This window comes from Homo sapiens, chromosome 17 (assembly GCF_000001405.40).
Source record: "Homo sapiens chromosome 17, GRCh38.p14 Primary Assembly".
Lineage (NCBI taxonomy): Eukaryota > Metazoa > Chordata > Mammalia > Primates > Hominidae > Homo > Homo sapiens.
The window spans coordinates 42,374,751-42,397,144 of NC_000017.11; the positions used below are offsets into that span (position 1 = coordinate 42,374,751).

General features: G+C 45.9%; 1 protein-coding gene across 23 annotated transcripts in view, besides 4 other annotated features; it reads right to left on the reverse strand.

Moving 5' to 3' along the window:
• Positions 1–13,692, reverse strand: part of STAT3 (signal transducer and activator of transcription 3) — a 75,119-nt gene extending 61,427 nt beyond the window's left edge. For all 23 annotated transcript variants that reach the window (NM_001384989.1, NM_001384992.1, NM_001384984.1 and 20 more), the window contains exon 1: positions 13,529–13,692. The gene's annotated coding sequence lies outside the window, so the exon portion shown is untranslated. The remainder of the gene's footprint in view (positions 1–13,528) is intronic.
• Positions 13,033–13,112: a silencer, noted in NCBI's record as "silent region_8527". NCBI's record gives its function as "represses an Ori minimal core promoter by ATAC-STARR-seq in GM12878 lymphoblastoid cells {active_cell/tissue: GM12878}" and the evidence as "EXISTENCE:reporter gene assay evidence [ECO:0000049][PMID:35858748]".
• Positions 13,343–13,622: a silencer, noted in NCBI's record as "silent region_8528". NCBI's record gives its function as "represses an Ori minimal core promoter by ATAC-STARR-seq in GM12878 lymphoblastoid cells {active_cell/tissue: GM12878}" and the evidence as "EXISTENCE:reporter gene assay evidence [ECO:0000049][PMID:35858748]".
• Positions 14,143–14,412: an enhancer, noted in NCBI's record as "active region_12198". NCBI's record gives its function as "activates an Ori minimal core promoter by ATAC-STARR-seq in GM12878 lymphoblastoid cells {active_cell/tissue: GM12878}" and the evidence as "EXISTENCE:reporter gene assay evidence [ECO:0000049][PMID:35858748]".
• Positions 18,589–18,858: an enhancer, noted in NCBI's record as "active region_12199". NCBI's record gives its function as "activates an Ori minimal core promoter by ATAC-STARR-seq in GM12878 lymphoblastoid cells {active_cell/tissue: GM12878}" and the evidence as "EXISTENCE:reporter gene assay evidence [ECO:0000049][PMID:35858748]".

The following is a 22,394-nucleotide window of genomic DNA, read 5'->3' on the forward strand; positions in this document are numbered from 1 at the left end:
TAAGGACAGAAATGTTAAGTGACTACACATGGATGCAAACTTGGAATCTTCAAACTCCCAGGCTAGTAGCCAAATTACCTGTTTTTAAATCTCATCTCTGCTATCTGATCTCTGCCAAGCAAATTTCCCTTTGAATTTGTTATGCAAACAATTAACGAGAATAAAGGAAAATGAGAGCTTTATATACGTTACATGTAATAACTGGAAGTTAACTTTATTAAGACATCTGAAATAAGTCAACACTTTTAAAACTTAAAGGCTATTCTTTACCAGAATCGTCTGTAGGAATTAACCCCAGCAGTCAGAAAGTACCTTAAAACAAAACCAACATTAATCTGGTAATGTCATGACTTCATAAAATATCCTTAATATTCAGGTACGTGCATACCAAGAAGAGTAAACAGAATAAAAAGAAATCTCTAAAACATTTTCCCTCATTCACTACATGTCTACTCTTCCACTTACCTTTATCTCTAAAACAAAAACATTTTCTAAACCCTGTGGACATGACTTCACTAATCCAAAGAAGACTTTATATTCTATGGGCCTTGTAAAGCCACATTTCTCAAACTAAGGACCAAGGACCATCTGAATCAGAATATCTGCTATGCCTGTGAGGATGACCCCAGATAAACTACATCAGACCCTCTCAGGCAGATCCATAGATTCTTTCTTCTTTTTAAGCAAATAACCCAGGGATTCTTATGTTAAAACCTTTAGACCAACCTTTCTCAAACTCTTCGCTCTCATGGCCCCTTTATTTATTATTTTTTAAATTTAAAAGAAATAATAAGCAAACCGGGTCAGGTGGCTCAAAACTGTAATCCCAGTACTTTGGGAGGCTGAGGCAGGCAGATCTCCTGAGGTTGGGAGTTCGAGACCAGCCTGACCAACATGGAGAAACCCCCATCTCTAATAAAAATACAAAACTAGACGGGTGTGGTGGCACATGCCTGTAATCCCAGCTACTCGGGAGGCTTAGGCAAGAGAATCACTTGAATTCGGGAGGCGGAGGTTGTGGTGAGCCGAGATCGCGCCATTGCACTCCAGCCTGGGCAACAAGAGCGAAACTCCATCTCAAAAAAAAAAAAGAAAAAGAAAGAAAGAAAAGAAATAATAGAGCCGGGCGCAATGGCTCACACCTGTAATCCCAGCACTTTGGGAGGCCAAGGTGGGCATATCATGAGGTCAGGAGTTCAAGATCAGCCTGGCCAACATGGTAAAACCCTGTCTCTACTAAAAATGCAAAAATTAGCCAGGTGTGGCTGCTAGCCCCTGTAATCCCAGCTACTCGGGAGGCTGAGGCAGGAGAATTGCTGGAACCTGGGAGGTGGAGGTTGCAGTGAGCCGAGATCATGCCACTGCACTCCAGCCTGGGTGACAGAGTGAGACTCCGTCTCAAAAAAAAAAAGAGAAAGAATGATTGATAAACCAACTGGGATACTGGCAGATATTTTCTCAAAAATGAAAGAAGGGAAGCTGTCTGTTCAGGGAAAGCAACTGACAATATTTGTTGCCAATGATAAAATTTGAGCTTTAGAGTAAAAATCAGAATTTGAGAAAGTTTGTATCCACCACTGTGAGTCTGACAGTTGTCTAATATTAATGATTATTAATGAAACCCCATCTCTACTAAAATTACAAAAATTAGCTGTGCGTGGTGGCACACGCCTGTAGTCCCAGCTACTCAGGAGGCTGAGGCAGGAGAATCACTTGAACCCGGGAGGTGGAGGTTGCAGTGAGCGGAGATCATGCCATTGCACTCCAGCCTGGCAACAGAGCAAGACTCCATCTCAAAAAAAAAAAAAAAAACCGGCCAGGTGCGGTGGCTCACACCTGTAATTCCAGCACTTTGGGAGGCCAAAGCGGGCGGATCACAAGGTCAGGAGATAGAGACCATCCTGGCTAACATGGTGAAACCCCGACTCTACTAAAAATACAAAAAATTAGCCGGGCATTGTGACGGGCGCCTGTAGTCCCAGCTACTTGGGAGGCTGAGGCAGGAGAATGGCATGAACCCGGGAGGCTGAGCTTACAGTGGGCCCAGATCGCACCACTGCACTCCAGCCTGGGCAACAGAATGAGGCTCTGTCTCAAAAAAAAAAAATTGGCGGTTTATGGGTTTGTGGGGGGTACAATTCCTGCCTGTCCAAGTGACAGACTCATTTAATTATCCCCAAGTTAATGTTTAAGTGCAATGGGGTAAAACATGCACTCTGTTAACTAAAAAGCCACATTTCCAAATAGTATACATATTACGATTAAAACATTAAAAATATATGTGTACAGATTTATTCATATAAGCCCAAAAACAAATGTCAGACAATGTTTCTGTCTTTGGAACCTGACTCAAAATAAGGTTCCTCCTGTTGGCTTCTTCCTGAGACACAGCCAACGCTAATTTGCCGCCCAGGCAAATCATCTATGCCTATCATTAGGAAATCAAATTTATGATATGCATAGCCTAGAATACTACTCTGTAGTTTTTTTGTTTTTGTTTTTGTTTTTTGAGACAGAATCTTGCTCTGTGGCCCAGGCTGGAGTCCAGTGGTGTGATCTCAGGGTTCAAGTGATTCTCCCACCACAGCCTCCCGAGTAGCTGGGATTACAGGCACACACTACCATGCCTGGCTAATTTTACTATGTAGATTTTTTAAACATGAGGTATATACACATGTATTTGCATTGAGTATTCTCTAAGATAAAGTGACAAAAAGCAAAATACAGAGTTTGGTGTATTTGCTGCTATATATGGAAGGAACAACACCCAGAGAATAACATGTTTGCATGCATACATATGAAGTAACTCAGGAGAGATAAATAGTAGGTAACTAGCTGTCCCTGGGAAAGAGTCCCAAGGATAAGGTGCGGACTAACTTTCCACTTACTACATATCTTTTGTACTGATTCATTTCAAAATTTACTCTAAAATATTGGTATTACAATAAAGAAAACTGGAGTCTAGAACTGAATGACAAAACTGATACATTCTTACTACAAATCTGTGGTTAAGATTAGCATTAATCTTTCCTAGGCAAAGAGGAAAAAGTTTAACCCAAAGACTGTATGGATCTTCTCTACCCTACATCTCCAATCTCATTCCCATTACTCAGAAAATATTCTCACTGGGTATAGAGGTATGAACTCCCATTGGAAAACTTAGGGTAAACGTCCGTGGAATCTATGGGGCACTGCTGACCCAGGACACCTGGGATATTTCTGCAGAAACAGGATTTTTTTTTTTTTTTTTTTTGAGATGGAGTCTTGCTCCATAGCCCAGGCTGGAGTGCAATGGCGCGATCTCGGCTCACTGCAACCTCCACCTCCCAGGTTCAAGCGATTCTCCTGCCTCAGCCTCCTGAGTAGCTGGGATTACAGGCGTGAGCCACCGCACCCAGCCAGATTATTCTTAATCAGTTGATTATTTCTGGCTCCAGAATGCTTCAATTATTCCACCTGCCCCTATGTATAAGCGTTACCACCCTAATTATGCTTGTTTTTGTTTTTTTGGTTGTTTGAGACGGAGTCTCTGTTGCCCAGGCTGGAGTGCAGTGGCACGATCTCGACTCACTGCAACCTCTGCCTCCCAGGTTCAAGCGATTCTCTTGCTTTAGCCTCCAGAGTAGCTGGGATTACAGGCACGCGTCACCACACCCAGCTAGTTTTTTGTATTTTCAGTAGAAACAGGATTTCACCAAGTCGGCAAGGATGGTCTTGAACTCCTGACCTCAAGCAATCCACATGCCTTGGTCTCCCAAAGTGCTGGGATTACAGGCGTGAGCCATCGCTCCCGGCCTCCTAATTATGTTTCATTTTGGTTAATGTTTCAATAAATGTGCTTTCCCTAAACATACTGATGAAAAGAGGCCCAAATGCAAAACTGATTTGTCGAGAAAGTCAGTCTGAGATGAAATATTTATTATGTCTAAACCACAAGTAGAAAAAAATTCAAAGGCCGACTATTTCAATGCTAACTCAATGCAATATTGCACTTTGTTTGGTTTACGGGAGAGGTAATTTACACAGCTAACATTTGGGTTTTCAAGATTACATTGTGGGGAGAGAAGGGGAAAACAAGAAAAGTCTAATGCTTTTAGATTCTGTCAGAAAAAGTGTTTGCTAAAAAGCAAAACAAAATGAACATGAGAAAAAATGTGAAAAAACATGCATTTTAGGAAGCTTTCACCGAAGCAGGTGCTCAAGTTCAGACTCAAATCTTCCAACTCTTGTAATAAAAATGAGAGGTCAGAATACCACAAACTAATCAAATCAATCAAACAAAGCGGGAAACAGGTGGCTGACACCAGACTGGGCAGGGTTTTCCTAAATTGGGCTTACCTTCACTAATCCAAATCAGTTTTCAGAAATGGCTTCTACAAAAACTACCCAAACATCCCCCTAATAATTTGCACTCCTCCTCCACAATAGGGAAGCCAAGCCGTTTATTTCCCAGAAGGTTTACTTTCTCTTTCAAGCTCTGCTGGCTTCTTCCTGCCCCGCATACGGCCAGGAAAAAAGAAAAGCACTGCCTTTTCTTTCCTGCCTTCTCTAAAACTGGGGAGATGGGGTGAGAGAACCTGTTTCATGGACAAGCTGGGTGGTTCTTAACTGCAACACTGTTCTGAATACAGATTAGTTTGCAAAGGAAAGTTACAGGACAGGAAAATAAAGGTCTACCCCTCCAACTAACTCATACACATGTACATTTGCATGTACGCACACACACAGATGTGAGGGCACATTTAATTCAGCTGAGTAATGTGCAGCAATCAGCTCCCAGCTTCATACCTGGCCACCGGGATGCCTCCTCACTCCCACCTTCTTTACCTGACTCAAAATAAGGTTCCTCCTGTTGGCTTCTTCCTGAGACACAACCAACTCTAATCATTCCTCTTCCCCTCAAACCTTCAACACTACCTGCACTTTCTGGGTCGGGAGCAATTCCTTGGGTGGTAATCCATTTTTAATGTGTTAAATATTACTTAAAATAAGGGAGAGGTAATCATGGACTGTGGGCAATGCAGAGATTTATCAGAAGGGCATTTGTGTAAACAGGAATTTACAGTTTGCCTTACCTATTCCTTTTATATGACAGCCTCAATTTCCTCTAACAGAATGTAAGTCCCCCATCCCTATTCATTTAGTTTTTTTCCCATTAGGTTAGAATCTGCTAATTATTCTTTCTCTCCTTTGGGTCATTAGTGGCTGCCATGAATCATAATTTGCCTGACTTTGTAATATCTAACAGATATTACCATTTTAGTTTAGTTTTTGATATGACAGTTTTTTGTTTTTTGTTTTTGTGACGGAGTCTTGCTCTGTCTCCCAGGCTGGAGTGCAGCGGCGCGATCTCAGCTCACTGCAACCCCCACCTCCTGGGTTCAAAAGCAATTCTCCTGCCTCAGCCTCCCGGGTAGCTGGGACTACAGGCACCCGCCACCACAACAGGCTAAATTTTATATTTTTAGTAGAGACGGGGTCTCACTATGTTGGGCAGGCTGGTCTTGAACTCCTGACCCGCCTCGGCCTCCCAAAGTGCTGGAATTACAGGCGTGAGCCACCATGCCCGACCTCCTAATTATGTTTTATTCCACCTGCCCCTATGTATAAGCGTTACCACCCTAATTATGCTTTTTGTTTTTCGGTTTTTTTGAGACAGAGTCTCACTCTGTCACCCAGGCTGTAGTGCAGTGGCACGATCTCGGTTCACCGCAACCTCCGCCTCCCGGGTTCAAGCGATTATCCTGCCTCAGCCTCCCGAGTAGCTGGGATTACAGGTGCCCACCACCACAACTGGCTAATTTTTATATTTTTAGTAGAGACGGGGGGGGTCTCACTCTGTTGGGCAGGCTGGTCTTGAACTCCTGACCTCAGGTGATCCACCCGCCTTGGCCTCCCAAAGTGCTGGGATTACAGGCGTGAGCCACCGCACTCGGCCTGATATTATAGTTTTTAATAAGAGTAATTCAGCCTAGGCAACGTGACGAGATCCTGACTCAAAAAAATTAGAAAATTAGCTGAGGGTGGTAGCACACACCTGTAGCCCCAGCTACCCCGAAGGCTGAGGCAGGAGGATCACTTGAGCCTAGGAGGTCAAGGCTGTCATGAGCTGTGATCTCACCGCTGCACTCCAGCCTAGGTGACAGAGTGAGAACCTGTCTCAAAAAATAAATAGTAATAATAGTAATTATTAGCACTTGAATGTTACCTGTCTGCCCGGCACTATGCAAAGTACTTGATATGCATCATCTTGCTTCATCCTCTCAATTACTCTACAAGTGGACCTCGTTTCCACAATTGTGGACAGAGAAACTGAAAACCAGAGAAGTGAAAACAACAGGCCCAAGGTCTAAGAGAAGGCAGAACTGGGATTAAAGCCCAATAGGTCTGACCTGATAGTCCACTCTTTTAACTGCTATAGTAACTTTGGACCATGAAACCCTCAAACATACCAACCAAGTGTTTCAAAACTACAATAGCAATCACCTTAGGAATACTCAAAATATAAGTTCTTTGGCTGACGCAGTTAAAAATTCAAAGGTCAGGTAAAATTTCAGTGATGAGCAAGGTCATTTATTCTTATGGCTGGGGGTAGCAGGAAGGAAAGCCGGATCGTCGAAGCATTATTTTCTTGTAGGGGCAGATTTACCTTCCTTATTATTCTTTTGCTAGGCTGTTAAAAGGAATTTGGAAGGCCAGGCGTGCTGGCTCACGCCTGTAATCCCAGCACTTTGGGAGGCCGAGGCAGGCGGATCACAATGTGAGGAGATTGAGACCATCCTGGCTAACACGGTGAAACCCTGTCGCTACTAAAAATATAAAAAAAAAAACATTAGCTGGGCGTGGTGGCGGGCGCCTGTAGTCCCAGCTACTCGGGAGGCTGAGGCAGGAGAGTGGCGTGAACCCGGGAGGCGGAGCTTGCAATGAGCCAAGATAGCGCCACTGCACTCCAGCCTGGGCGACAGAGCGAGACTCCATCTCAAAAAAAAAAAAAAAAAGGAATTTGGAATAAATATGTCTCCAAGATAACCTGGTAAACAGAAAGGGCTGCAAAAAATCTGAATAAAAGCAAGTCAATTAACAGGATACATGTAAAACACACATTTTATATTCCTACAAGTCTTTTTTTTTATAATAGCATGTTATTACTTTTCTAAAAAGGACAAAATAACTTATTTTAATGACATTTAAACCCAATTATTAACAGAAAAGGGATAAGAACTGTGGTTCCTTGGCCTCCTTTCCCCTTGGTTTAGTTCTCCTAAATTAAGAACTTCTACTTATAGCTCCCTGAACACACAAGGCTGTTTTAAGCCTCTGCACCCTCATGTTCCTTCAGCCTTGAATGCAACTTTTTGTAACGCAACTTCGTGGAAAGAATTCCTATTCATCCTATAAAACCCTATTCAGGTGTTCCCATCTGATAAAGCCCCTCAATAATGATGACTTTCTCTCACTCCTGAAAAGAATTAATCTCTTTTCTTGGATATTTAGTAAGAACTTAGATTTACCGAGCTCTTACTATGTGCCAGGCACTATGCTAAGCATTTTATCCACATTATCTTATTGAATCGTCAACAGTACCTACAAGATAAGCACTGTTATAATCTTCTTTTACAGATAAGAAAATAGAGGCTCAGATTCTGACTAGGAAGTGGCAGATCCAGGATTCAGTCCCAGATCTGTTTGACTTCAGAGCCAGAGTCTTGAACCACTCACTGCCCTGTCGTCTCCCCTGTCCTACTTCCATACTGGCATAGCACACACCTCGGTCCCTGCAACATCTCCAGTTTCATGAAAACGGACAATATTTCATTATCCTTGGATCCTGCCTGACGCAATACCTGGCTCTCAACATGTTTGCTGATCTGAATTAAAGAGTTGCGGTAATCCTTTTTTTTTTCTTTTTTTTTTGAGATGGAGTCCCACTCTGTTGCCCAGGCTGGAGTGCAGTGGCACGATCTCAGCTCACTGCAAGCTCCGCCTCCAGGACTCATGCCATTCTCCTGCCTCAGCCTCCTGAGTAGCTGGGACTACAGGCGTCTGCCACCACGCTGGGCTAATTTTTTGTATTTTTAGTAGAGGCGGAGTTTCACCGTGTTAGCCAGGATGGTCTCGATCTCCTGACCTCGTGATCCGCCCACAGCCTCCCAAAGTGCTGGAATTACAGGCATGAGCCACCACACCCGGCTGGGTAAGAGTTGCAGTAATCCTAACATGACAAATGAGAACTGACCATAACAGAAATTCATTCTTCCATATGTTATTCCCAGGCCTCATAACCTCTCCTTCCTCTGAAGACATGTAGCATTCAGTGTAGCACTGTCAGAATGTCTCACTCTGTCCCCCAGTCTGGAGTGCAGTGGCAGGATCTTGGCTCACTGCAGCCTCCACCTCCCAGGTTCAAGCAATTCTCCTGGCTCAGCCTCCAGAGTAGCTGGAACTACAGGCGTGTGCCACCACACCTGGCTAATTTTTGTATTTTTAGTAGAGACGGGGTTTTACCATGTTGGCCAGGCTGGTCTCAAACTCCTGACCTCAAGTGATCCGCTCACCTCTGCCTCACAAAGCGCTGGGATTACAGGCATCAGCCACCATGCCCAGCCTGTTTTTGCCTTTTTTTTTTTTTTAAAGAAACAAAGTGGTCTCACTATGTTGCCCAGGCTGGTCTTGAACTCCTGGGCTCAAGCAATCCTCTTGCCTCGGCCTTCCAAAGTGCTGGGATTATAGGCATGAGCCACTGCTCCTGGCCCGATATGCTACTCCTTTTAAAAACTGGAGGCATCTCAAACAATTTACCACCAAAGGACCATGTGGCCATACTGACTAAAGCGCACTACACTTTACGCTTACGTCTTGTAAGCCAAGGTGTCTAACAAAGAGTATATAACCACCATATTAATTCTTTACACCATAATCAATAAGGGCTGGGCCAGCCCAGCAATGCCATCCTCCTGGATCTCACTGAGGCTGCTCCAGAACACCAGAAGTTCTTCAGGATTCGGGGATGTCCCTCAAGTACTCTTTCAGTGGTTTTTATAAATGACTCAAAAGTTATGGTGAAATTTTTAAGTGCCAAAGACATAAAATATGAGTGGTGGTTTGTATCCAATCAAAAATCCTCAAAAAACACTTCTGCACTTAAGCACACTATACTTTTTTCACCCAAAGTACCAAATCAAACTAGTCAGGATACCTACCTTTGTACAATGTCAGACTCCAGTTAATAACTCCCCTAGGGCAGAGGGCATATGCACTGATTTACTTTGTACAAATTAACCAGCATCAGGCAATCAGGCCTGTGCCTAACACATAGTAAGCACTCTATGATTAAACATCAGTGCTTCGGCTCCAAAGTTTTATTTATTTATTTATTTATTTATTTTTTTTTTTTTTGAGACGGAGTCTCGCTCTGTCGCCCAGGCTGGAGTGCAGTGGTGCGATATCGGCTCACTGCAAGCTCCGCCTCCCGAGTTCACGCTCTTCTCCTGCCTCAGCCTCCCGAGTAGCTGGGACTACAGACGCCCGCCACAACGCCCGGCTACTTTTTTTTGTATTTTTAGTAGAGATGGGGTTTCACCGTGTTAGCCAGGATGGTCTCGATCTCCTGGCCTCGTGATCCGCGCGTCTGGGCCTCCCAAAGTGCTGGGATTACAGGCGTGAGCCACCGCGCCCGGCGCCCCGAAAGTTTTAAAAGCTTCCCCTACAAAAGAACAGAACTGAAATTCCTTGGTCCTGTATTCAATGTCTTTTGTAAGTAATCACTTCTCCCCTACTTACCCTCCTAGTCTACCGGGCTACCAGGAATTTTTTTTTTTTTTGGAGACAGGGTCTCACTCTGTCACCCAGGCTGGAGTGCGGTGGCGGGATCACGGCTCACTGCAGCCTTAACCCCCGGGGCTTGGGTGATCCTCCCACCTTAGTCTCACCAGTAGCTGGGACTACAGGTCCACGCCACCAGGCCTGGCTAATTTTTTTTATTTTTAGGGGAGAGGGAGTTTTACCACGTTGCCCAAGCTGGTCTCAAACTCCTGGGCTCAAGCAATCCTCCTGCCTCAGCCTCCCAAAGTGCTGGGATTACAGGCATAAACCACCGCAAATTCTTTACACCTATCAAATTCCACCCATTATTTGGGACCCAGTTGAAATCCCTCTTTGGCAAAAAGACTTTCTAGACAACTCCAGGCCTCATAACCTCTCCTTTCTCTGAAGATCTGTAGCATTCAGCCTAGCACTGTCCAATAGAACGTTCTATGATAACAGAAAAGTTCTACATCTGTACTGTATGTTCTTTTATGTAGAACAGCTACCTTGTTAGCACAAGTGTAAAGTCTCACCATCTCTTTGATGACAACATGTTACATTGGATGGTTAAAACATTTATCAGCTCCCCCAGTAGACTGCAATTTCTGTGAACAAGATACAACTTATTCTTCATAGCAACTCTGACAAAGTTGCAAAAGGTATATATATGTTGGCCAGGCAAGGTGGTTCACGCCTGTAATCCCAGCACTTTGGGAGGCTGAGGTGGGCAGATCTCTTGAGGTCAGGAGTTTGAGACCAGCCTGGTCAATATAGTGAAACCTTATCTCTACTAAAAATACAAAAATTAGCCGGGCGTAGTGGCGGGCACCTGTAATCCCAGCTACTCAGGAGGCTGAGGTGCGAGAATCACTTGAACCCGGGAGGAGGAGGTTGCAGTGAGCCACGATCATGCCACTGCACTCCAGCCTGGGTGATAGAGTGCAACTCCAACTCAAAAAAAAAAAAAAAAAAGTATATATTTGTTGATTTGCACATCACCTAAGAAAACCATAAGCTAAGAAGGTTTGGACTCAGGCGTCTGGAAAGTTGGTCACCACCTCTACCCCACCTCATATCTGAATGTCAAGAGACACGTAGAGGCAGAGAAGTTAAAGCAACTTTCTAGAGACAGAAATGACCACTGATCAAGCCACAATGCACTCTGGTTTAAATGACATTTAGGTCATGACTGTCCTTAATCTAAAACAAACCTAGATTAGTATTTCTTTTCATTAGTAAATAGCTAAATTCTGATGGTAAATTATGCTGACCAAAAACAGTTCCTCACTTCCCAAGTTAGACATAGCAATTAGAAAAATAATCTAAGCAAGCTCCATTTGTATTTCTTTTTTCACCTGTTTATTGAATATTTACCTCCCATGAAGTCTTTCAGCCTATTGGTGGTATTTTACTGTTCAGATATATGTTAGAATTTCACTGATACTTACTGGGCGCGGTGGCTCACACCTGTAATCCCAGCACTTTGGGAGATAGAGGTGGGCAAATCACAAGGTCAGGAGTTCAAGACCAGCCTGGCCAATATGGTAAAACCCCGGTCTCTACTAAAAATACAAAAATTAGCTGGGCGTGGTGGCGCACGCCTGTAGTCCCAGCTACTTGGGAGGCTGAGGCAGGAGAATCGCTTGAACCCAGGAGGCAGAGGTTGCAGTGAGCCAAGATTGCGCCACTGCACTCTAGCCTGGGCAACAGAGCAAGACTCTGACTCAAAAAAAAAAAAAAAAAGAATTTCACTGATACTTTTCACAAAATATACAGAAGGAGGCACAAATTCCACCACTATGGCACTCTGCTGCGTTGGCCAAGTGTCTTGATCCTTTGGCCTCAATTTTCTTATCTACGATATTAGGGTAATTGTTATGTGAACTACCCACCTCACAAGTCCTTTGTGGGTTAATTCATAACTGTGCTGTGGGTATTTCTTTTTCTTTCCTTTCTTCCTCCTTTCCTTTCTTTCTTTCTTAAAGATGGGTTCTCATTATGGTGCTTAGACTAGACTCTAGACCCAATTCCTGGCCTCTCACCATGTTGCCCAGACCAGACTCAACTCCTGGACTCAAGGAATCCTCCCACCTCAGCCTTCAATTAGCTGGGATCAGAGGTGTGCACCACCATGCCTGGCACTGTGGATATTTCTAAGTGATTATTCTTCTCAAATGAACTACATAAAAAACAAAAGATTCATGAATTTACTAATGGTTCTTTGTGATGGATGTGCTAATATAGAGACTAAAATCAAGGCTCCAACCTCTAAAACATTTTTTTTTAAATTCCAGACTTGTTTCCCCATCCCACTGTGCAAACTGAACAAAAACTGGGCTAGCACTCCTGTCTGGAACATGTAATAAGGAAATAAATGTGCTGACTCAGAGAACACAGACATATTTAATATAAAATAAGATAGAAAACTGGCTGAACCAAGTCATAACACAGTCTAAATCCACATATAAAAGATTGAGATGATTTTCTGCTTTGCTTTATTCAAGCCCAATGCTTTATCAGCACAGCCAGCCAAAAATTTACAACCCATACACAGACTATGTAAACCTTTAGTTGCACATACAGTAAGACCAGCAGGTACACACTATACACATTTTTAATTAAAAAAATGACTAACCACTGATTTTGTCACCACACTTAACAACGACCTGATATGGCACAGAGTGATGTGTACCAAACATGGAAATACCAACTTGGGCGACGGTTTGAATCTTGTTAACTTCAGTGCAACCACACCCCCCAAATGCATGTAAAGTTTGCACACATGGTTTTTTCAAGGCCAGCCTGTCTTTGTTTCCCTCTCCTCTGCATTTACCCAAGATCTTGGCTCTGAGACAGAAAACTCCCACTCTCAATTGGTTCATTCCGTCCTATGCAATTAAGCAACACCACAATCCAGTAAATGCAATGGCTCAATTATTTATCTTCTGGCCGACTTTACCAGGTATTTGGAAAAGGACAATGTCAAGAGGTTTATTTCTCTCTCTAGAGCTGGCTTGACGGGTTGATGGGGATTTTATTTTGTCTTTTTTTCTCTTTTTTACAAGGCGGGGACGTGGGGGGAGCATAATTTAACCTAGAAAAAGATGCGAGGGAATTTAGAAAGAGTACCGGTCTGTCAATTTCCCTACAGGAAACTTGATTCTTATGCAATAAAGCCTACCCACGACCAGCCAGCCCGTAAGGCTGCAGGCGACAGACACACCTATTCCTGCCTCCAAAAGGGCACAGCTGTCTCCTGAAGGAGCGGGAACAGGGCAAGCGGAGGAAGTGGCTCAGCGGGAGCCGCCGACCGGGCGGGGAGGAGGCGCTTTCCGACCCCCCACTCGCGCCGGTGATCCCCGTCGGCGTGACAGTCGCTCCGGTGGCCGGAACGTCCCCAGGGCCCCAGGGAGCAGGAAATCGGGGGACTGTCCCTCACTCCTGCCGCCGCAACCGAGTGCGCCCTCGCCCCACGGTGCCCCCTCGAGCGCGTTCTGTTTCTCCGAAGAACGAAACTTCCCTCCAGCGCCCCGAGTCCCTTCCGAGGCCCGCTCCTGTCATCCCGAAGAGTCTTCCCTCAGGGCGACCCTCCGCGTCTCTTCATCTCTCCCGGCCCCACTGCAGCGTCCATCACAACATCCCCAAGGTCCCAGAGGCCCCCTGCCGCTGCGGAGCCCCCGGGTCCCCAGGCCTCCCCAACGGCCCCACCCTGCACCCCCTTCACCTGTTTCTCCGGCAGAGGCCGAGAGGCCGGGGCTGCGCGTGTGCCGGGGACGGGCGGCGAGGCTCCCTCAGGCCGAAGGGCCTCTCCGAGCCGAGGGGGAGAGACAGCGCCAAGCCGGGGTGCCTGTCCAGGATCCGGTTGGGGCTTGTTCCCTCGGCTGCGACGTCGGAACCCCCGGCTCCCCCTCCCAGTCTGCGCCGCCGCAGCTCCGGAAACCGCTGAATTACAGCCCCTTCAGCCAATCCTCGCCCAGCCCCAGCCTGGCCGAGGCACGCCGTCATGCATAATTCATGAAAGGCCAGCTCGTTCGGCCACCCAGAGGTCCCAGTGCGTGTGCGGTACAGCCGAAGCCCCGCCCACTGACCAATGAGGAGAGCAGCTAGGAGAAAGGGCGGAGCCAAGAGGAGACTGATACGCCCCTGTGCTGGCTGTTCCGACAGTTCGGTGCTCCTCCCTCCGCCACAGCGAGGGAAGAGCCGAGGACTTGGGCACAGAAGCCCGGGGGGAGGGAGGGAAGATGACCGGAATGTCCTGCTGAAAACTCAGCTGAGTTCCTGGCAGTGCGTGACGTCAAGGCACTTTAAATGCCCCTGATACAGCTCCCTCCTGCCCGCTCTCCCTTTTCCCGGCCCTTGGCACCACGTGGTGGCGAGGTTGAGAGCCTCTTACCACGCGGGAATCAGCTAGTTAGATAGTCCCCAGGTATCTCCAGATCCTCTGGGGACCCAACTCCTGAATTGGGTTCTGGGGACAACAAAAAGAACATGGGTGACTCCGCCTGCTTTGAACTTCAGTTTCTGCGTGAGCAGGGACACACACACCCGGAAACATGACGTGGAAATAGAGTAATTACTAGAGTGCGTGGGGAGAGGGTAGTGGATTTAACCCCGTACTCCGTTCCATCACTTCAAGCATCAAACGCCGACCAGCTAGCCCATTGGCCCGTACAGGCGAATGCAGAAGACGGTGTATACGAAAGCTGATAACGTGTAGGGCTTGACATTTTTATGCGTCTGAATTGAAATACATGAAATGTTCTGCCTTTTTCTTTTCCACCTTGCCTACTTGGTATGCAAGTTTTACTGAATTGAAGCCAGTGGTTGATAGGAAATGTAGACATTTTGCCTTTCATAATAGAGGATGAACTTTGCATAATGGAGTGATTTCTGTGTATGTGCTGATACTATCAGGGTTTTTAATTTTTATTTTTTTGGGTCTTTAAAAATATGTTATTAATATTTGTGTTTGTTTAATACGAACAGGTATAAAGACAAAAATCTAAAAAGGACCCATTATCTCACTGCTCAGCTAACCCCTGACATATTTTTTTTCAATGAACCTAATACATGTTCCTGTTTAGAAAATGCAGACCGTTCAGAAAGGTCAAAAATATTAAATGAAAATCTTTCCCTACCCCCATCATTCCTTCTCCCCAAGGATAGCTGTTCTTATTAATTTCTAGTGAGAAAAATCAATGACTCTTAACCTTTGAAGGCAGTCACAGATCCTTCTGAGTGTTTGAAGGAGACTAGATTCTAGCCCCAGAAACAATACAAGGTTTTACTCACATGGTTCCCCAGATACCTGAAGCCTGTCTAAGTCTACAGATTCAGACCGCTCGTACCACCTCATATCCAATGAGGGACAGAGGCATCTACAGGGCAATTCATAGGGTCACTGGTGGTGAGAATTGAGAACCTCCTATTGCCCTCTGGTAGACACAGCTCAGTATGGAAATTGCTGTATTTACCTGTAGAGTGTGTGTGTATTGATTAGGCTGTTTATCTACACCACAGGACAGATATCCCCCATCTCCGCCTATAGTCTCTTGTAACTACGCTATCCCGTGCGGCCAACTGCCTCCCTGATAACATAGGGTCTAGGATTTGTTTAGTGATTTACTGCTTACAAAGGACTTACACACCTTATACACTCCCTGCCTGGTTTCTTTCTCACAATCATGAATAGCAGATAGGAGAGGCCATATTATCCGCTGATAGAAAACTAAAGACAACATAATATGACATTTTCAAGATCACAGAGAAACTCAGAAATATACCAGGTTCAGAGTCAGGTTTGGGGGCTTTACGTCCCATAGCTTTGTTCCATTCATTCAAACCCTGCCCTGCTTCTGACTTCTCAAGAGCTGGCCTCTGTTTCCCTCATTGGCCTCCCCACCAGTAACACATAAAATCTACCTCTGCGACTATGGGTTTGACCTGCAAAAATTCTCTTCAGCCCAGACACTGGCCTTTCTCCACAACCCCGCCAAATTCCTCTTGGCTAAATGCTGCAATTTCTGTCCCTTGGGCCACTGCCTTAACCACCTGATTATTCTCTCCTTATTCTATCCTATTCTTCCACTGGCTGCCAGGGACATCATCCTAAAAATTAAATAAATAAACATTCAGGCCAAGGCGGGTGGATCACAAGGTCAGTTCAAGACCAGCCTGGCCAACACAGTGAAACCCCGTCTCTACTAAAAATACAAAAATTAGGCTGGGCACTGTGGCTCACGCCTGTAATCCCAGCACTTTAGGAGGCTGAGGCGGGCAGATCACCTGAGGTCAGGAGTTCGAGACCAGCCTGACTAATATGATGAAACCCTGTCTCTACTAAAAATACAAAAATCAGCCAGTCATGGTGGCTTGCACCTGTAATCCCTGCTACTCGGGAGGCTGAGGGAAGAGAATCTCTTGAACCCGGGAGGTGAAGGTTGCAGTGAGCCGAGATCGCGCCATTGCATTCTAGCCTGGACAACAAGAGCGAAACTCCATCTCAAAACAAAAGTAAAAATTAGCTAGCCATGGTGGCACGTGCCTGTAGTCCCAACTACTCAGGAGGCTAAGGCAGGAGAATTGCTTGAACCCAGGAGGTGGAGGTTGCAGTGAGCCCAGATCCCTCCACTGCACTCCAGCCTAGGCGATAGAGCAAGACCCTGGCTCAAAAAAAAAAAAAAAAAAAAATTCAATCATGTCACAGTCGGCTTAAAAATCTCTATGGTTCCCTACTACCGGCAAGATAAAATCCAAGTTAATTTTTTTTTTTTTTTTTTTTTTTGAGACAGAGTTTCCTCTTGTCGCCTAGGCTGGAATGCGATGGTATGATCCTGGGTCACTGCAACCTCCGCCTCCCAGGTTCAAGCAATTCTCCTGCCTCAGCTTCCCAAGTAGCTGGGACTACAGGTGCCCACCACCATGCCCAGCTAATTTTTGCATTTTTAGTAGAGACGGGGTTTTACTGTGTTGGCTAGGCTGGTCTTGAACTCCTGACCTCAAGTGATCCGCCCACCTCAGCCTCCCAAAGTGCTGGGAGCCACCGTGTCCGGCCAATCCAAGTTAAATTTTAAAAATGCTGACCAGGCACAGTGGCTCATGCCTGTAATCCTAAAGCTTTGGGAGACCGAGGCAGGAAGATCATTTGAGGCCAGGAGTTCGAGATCAGCCTGGGCAACATGGCAAAACACCAACTTTACAAAAAATTAGCCGGGCGTGGTGGTGGCATGCCTGTAGTCCCAGCTATTCTGAGGACTGAGGCAGGAGGATCACTTGAACTTAGAAAGAAGTTCGAAGTTACAGTGAGCTATGACTGTTCTACTGTACTGTAGTCTGAGCAACAGAACAAGACCAACCTTGTCTCAAAAACAAACAATAAACAAAAAGCTGACCATTTAATTCAGTGCCATGGCTGGGCGCGGTGGCTCATGCCTGTAATCCCAGCATTTTGGGAGGCCGAGGCGGGCGAATCCTGAGGTCAGGAGTTCGAGACCAGCCTGGCCAACATGATGAAACCCCGTCTCTACTAAAAATACAAAAAAATTAGCTGGGCATAGTGGCGGGTGCCTGTAATCCCAGCTACTTGGGAGGCTGAGGCAGGAGAATCGTTTGAACCCGGGAGGCAGAGGTTGCAGTGAGCCGAGATCATGCCACTGCACTCCAGCCCAGGCAACAAAGTGAGACTCTGTCTCAAAAAAAAAAAGAAAAAAGAAAAAAACACCATAATTCAGTGCCATGCATGTGGTAGGAGCTCAATTGATGTTCCTTCTTTCTCCCTCTTTATTTGAATCATAAAATCCTACAGGCCCAGCACAGTGGCTCACGCCTGTAATCTCAGCACTTTGAGAGGCCGAAGCGGGTGGATCACCTGAGGTCAGGAGTTCAAGACCAGCCTGACCAACATGGTGAAAGTCTGTCTCTACTAAAAATACAAAAATTAGCCAAGCGTGTTGGCGGGCACCTGTAATCCCAGGTACTCGGTAGGGTGAGGCAGAAGAATCGCTTGAACCCAGGAGACAAAGGTTGCAGTGAGCTAAGATTGCACCATTGCAATCCAGCCTGGGTAATACAGTGAGACTCTGTCTCAAAAAAAAGATAAATTCCACAAAGGCTGACCTGAATCCCCCCTTTTCTAACCTAGTCCCACAAACCCTACTAAATGTGTTACCTTCCTCCAAACATGTCTACACCTTCTGCAACTTCATGCCTCTGTGGATAGTCTTCCTTCTACCTGGAATCTCTTTCCTCAGTCCCTACCTGAGAACTCTTACTCATTCTTCAAAGCCCTGTTGCAACATCACCTCCTCTAGGCTTCCTTCTATTCTTACTGGCAAAGTTAATCTCCTACCAGACTCCTTCGGCAGGTTGTTTCCCCATCTAGAATACATTCTCTACCTTGAATTCTAATAAATCCACATATTGGCCTACTTCCTGAAAAAAAACAATAATTAACATTGATTAAGTAATTACTACTATATTCCAGGAACTGTGCTAAGCATTTTACATAGATTATCTCATTTGATCCTCACCAGAACCCAGTGAGGGTAATATTATAATTCTTATTTTACAATTGAGGAAACGAAGACTGAGAAAGTGAAAGACTGGCTCAAGACTGGTCTCACAGCTAGAAACTAGGTGGAAACTCAGAATGAAAATCAGGTCTGGCTGACTCTCTGGCCACGTGCTAACAAACATCTTCCCCTAAACTGTGGGTTCCTGGAAACTTGAACCCCTTAAGCCCTGTCTTCATAATCTCAGCATCTATCATCTAGCCTAGAGCTCACCTAAGACTGAATTAATTAAATATTAATAAATAAGTCTTGAGGCCTGACGTGGTGGCTCATCCTGTAGTCCTAGCACTTTGGGAGGCTGAGGCAGGCGGATCACTTGAGGTCAGGAGTTTGAAACCAGCCTGGCCAACGTGGTGAAACCTTGTCTCTACTAAAAATACAAAAATTAGCTGGGCATGGTGGCGGGTGCCTGTAATCCCAGCTACTTGGGAGTCTGAGGGAGGAGAATCGCTTGCACCTGGGAGGTGGAGGTTGCAGTGAGCCGAGGTAGCACCACTGCACTCCAGCCTGGGCGACAGAGCGAGACTCTGTCTCCAAAAAAAGTCTTGAATAATGACATCAGCATTAACAAACACAGAGTGTTGAATATGTACTAGCCACTGTTCTAAGAATGTAATTCATGTAACATATCTGTGAACTCATTTAATCCTTACAATAACCCCATGAGGCAAATACTGTGACTTTATAGATGCAGAAAATGAGACTTACCTAAGGCTAAGTCACTTCCCCAAGAACATACAGCTGGTAAATGGCAGAGCCAGGATTCAAATTCAAGCACAGTTTGTCTAAATTGAGAGCTTTATATCTGTTTTTCCTTAATTATAACTATATTTGTGTCCAAAATTCTCGTTAACCCTGTGAGAACTGCTTCACCTCTTCCCCGAAGGAATTAGCAGTAAAACCCAAAGTCAAGAGGAAAGCATAGCAAGAAAGAGAACCTTGGGGATGGTAAGTGGGTGGCAAGTCACTGTGGTGACCAAAGGGAGTAAGGGGCAACCTGTGAGGGTGATGAGATCTTCATGGGGTTCAGCAACAGAAAGGCTCACCCAGGGCTGCCCAAAACTCCCACTAATATCACAGTGAAGAGCAGGTCTGCGCAACACAAACTCTTTGGGCCTTCTCTCTGCCAAAACACCTCAGGCATCGTTATGCAGATATGTCTCTTTCCTTCAGTCTGAACAGTCCTCCCCACTCAATATTTTCTTTTTTTTTTTCCTTTTTTGTTTGTTTGTTTTGAGACGGAGTCTCGCTCTGTCGCCCAGGCTGGAGTGCAGTGGCGCAATCTGGGCTCACTGCAAGCTCCGCCTCCCAGGTTCACGCCATTCTCCTGCTTCAGCCTCCCGAGCAGCTGGGACTACAGGCTCCCACCACCACGCCCAGCTAACTTTTTGTATTTTTTTTAGTAGAGATGGGGTTTCACCGTGTTAGCCAGGATGGTCTCAATCTCCTGACTTTGTGATTCACCCACCTTGGCCTCCCAAAGTGCTGGCATTACAGGCGTGAGCCACCGCTCCCGGCCTTTTTTGTTTTTTGAAACCAAGTGTCGCCCTGTCGCCCAGTCTGGAGTGCAATGGCACGATCTTGGCTCACTGCAACCTCCGCCTCCTGCAAACTCCTGACCTTGTGATCCACCCACCTTGGCCTCCCAAAATTCTGGGATTACAGGCGTGAGCCACCGCGCCTGGCCCCCAGCTCAATATTTTCAAGGCTATGATGTTTTTTCCTGTATCGCTTAACACATCATTCATACCATGTCCTTCTTTTCTTCCAGTCAATTCTCATGGGGCTTTGGATACAGTTCTTCTTTATCTCATCTCCTTCAAGGCCCTGCCTACCCCACCTACATCTCTGCTGCCCACTAAATTCCAGCCAGTCCACTTCCCAGCTCAGGACCTTTGCATATGCTGTTCCTTTTCCTTCCCCGGCTTTGGCGTGGCTGTTTCCTTGTTACTCCAACAGACCTTGTCTAACCACTCCTATCTAAAGTTATTCACAGCCTGTTAATCCCTATTTCTATATCCTGTTTCCTGTGGAATTCATCACAGTTCTTTTCTATTTATTTAATTTTTTTTTTTTTTGAGACAGAGTCTCGCTCTGTAACCCAGGCTAGAGTGCAGTGGCAAGATGCTGGCTCACTGCAATCTCCATCTCCCGGGTTCAAGTGATTCTTCTGCATCAGCCTCCCGAGTAGCTGGGATTACAGGTGCCCACCACCATGTCCAACTAATTTTTGTGTTTTTAGTAGAGACGGGGTTTCACCATGTTGGCCAGGCTGGTCTCAAACTCCTGACCTCAGGTGATCTGCCTGTCTTGGCCTCCCAAAGTGCTGAGATTATAGGCATGAGCCATCGCACCCAGCCTTATTTTATTTTATTTTTTGAGATGGAGTCTCGCTCTATTGCCCAGGCTGGAGTGCAGTGGCATGATCTCGAGTACAGTGGCACAATCTCAGCTCACTGCAATCTCTGCCTCCCAGGTTCAAGCAATTCTCCTGCCTCAGCCTCCCAAGTAGCTAGGATTACAGGCGGACACCACCATGCCTGTCTAATTTTGTATTTTTAGTAGAGATGGGATTTCACCATGTTGGTCAGGCTGGTCTCCAACTCCCGATCTCAGATGATCTGCCCACCTCGGCCTCCCAAAGTGCTGAGATTACAGGCGTGAGCCACCGCGCCCGGCCTTATTTTGTTATTATTTTTTTTGAGACAGGGTCTCACTCTGTCACCCAGGCTGGAATGCAGTGGCATGATCTCAGCTCACTGCAACCTCTTCCTAACAGGCTTAAGAGATCCTTCCACCTAACCACCTGAATAGCTGGGACTACAGGTGCGCACCATCACCCCTGGCTAATTTTTCTATTTTTAGTAGAGACAGGGTTTGGCACCTCTCTCTGTCACCCAGGCAAGAGTGCAGTGGTGTGGTCATAGCTCACTGCAGCTTTGAACCCCTGGGCTCAAGGCATCCGCCAGCCTCACCCTCCCTAGTAGCTGGGATTACAGGTGTGTGCCACCATATCCAGCTCTGTTTATAGGGTTTCTCATCTATCTTTCTCTTTATACTGTTAGTTCCAGGAAGAGGTGTCTTCTCTGTTCCAGGCTCCCTTGACTCCCCAGTCAACATGCTGACATAATAGATGCTCAATAAATAATGAATGCATGGAAGTGCTCTTGATCCCGCCTCTCCCCTCTTTGAGTGTTCTCAATTCTCTTCTCCTTCCTGACCTTCTCCACTTGTTCTCTTCTTTCTGACTTGAAGATCCTTCCTCTCTCCTATACTGACCTTGCTATTTCCTCAAGTTACCCCCATCACTTCACATTCATTGCCCCATGTCCTCATCCCCACTTGCTCCATCAAGGTGGTTTCTGCCCTCTCTTGTTCATAGGACAGAGCTCTTGAAGGGCTACCAGGGACCTCCTCATCAACGTTGATATCTTTTTTTTTTTTTTTTTTGAGATGGAGTCTCGCTCTCTCGCCCAGGCTGGAGTGCAGTGGGGTGATCTCTGCTCACTGCAAGCTCCGCCTCCCAGGTTCACGCCATTCTCCTGTCTCAGCCTCCCGAGTAGCTGGTACTACAGGCACCTGCCACCACGCCCGGCTAGGTTTTTGTTTGTTTGTTTGTTTTGTATTTTTAGTAGAGACGGGATTTCACCGTATTAGCCAGGAGGGTCTCGATCTCCTGACCTCGTGATCTGCCCGCCTCGGCCTCCCAAACGTCAATATCTTATTAGTCATTTTACTTAACTTTGCGTTGAATCTAGAGCTGTTATCCTCCTCTTCCTTCCTACACATTCTCTCCTCCCTTGACCATCACAGCAGTTGATAGAAGCAATTGCATTAAATTGAGAGCTGAGGGGAGCTGAGGCGAGACATCCTGGCTCTGACACAGAAGAAGCTGTGCAACCTTGGGCTAGCTCCTTAACCTCTTTGAACCTCAGCATCCTCATCTGCAAATAGAGAACATAATTCTAACTTTAGTGAATTTGCATTAAAGTGTTTTTTGTTGGAAGATACTCTCCAGCT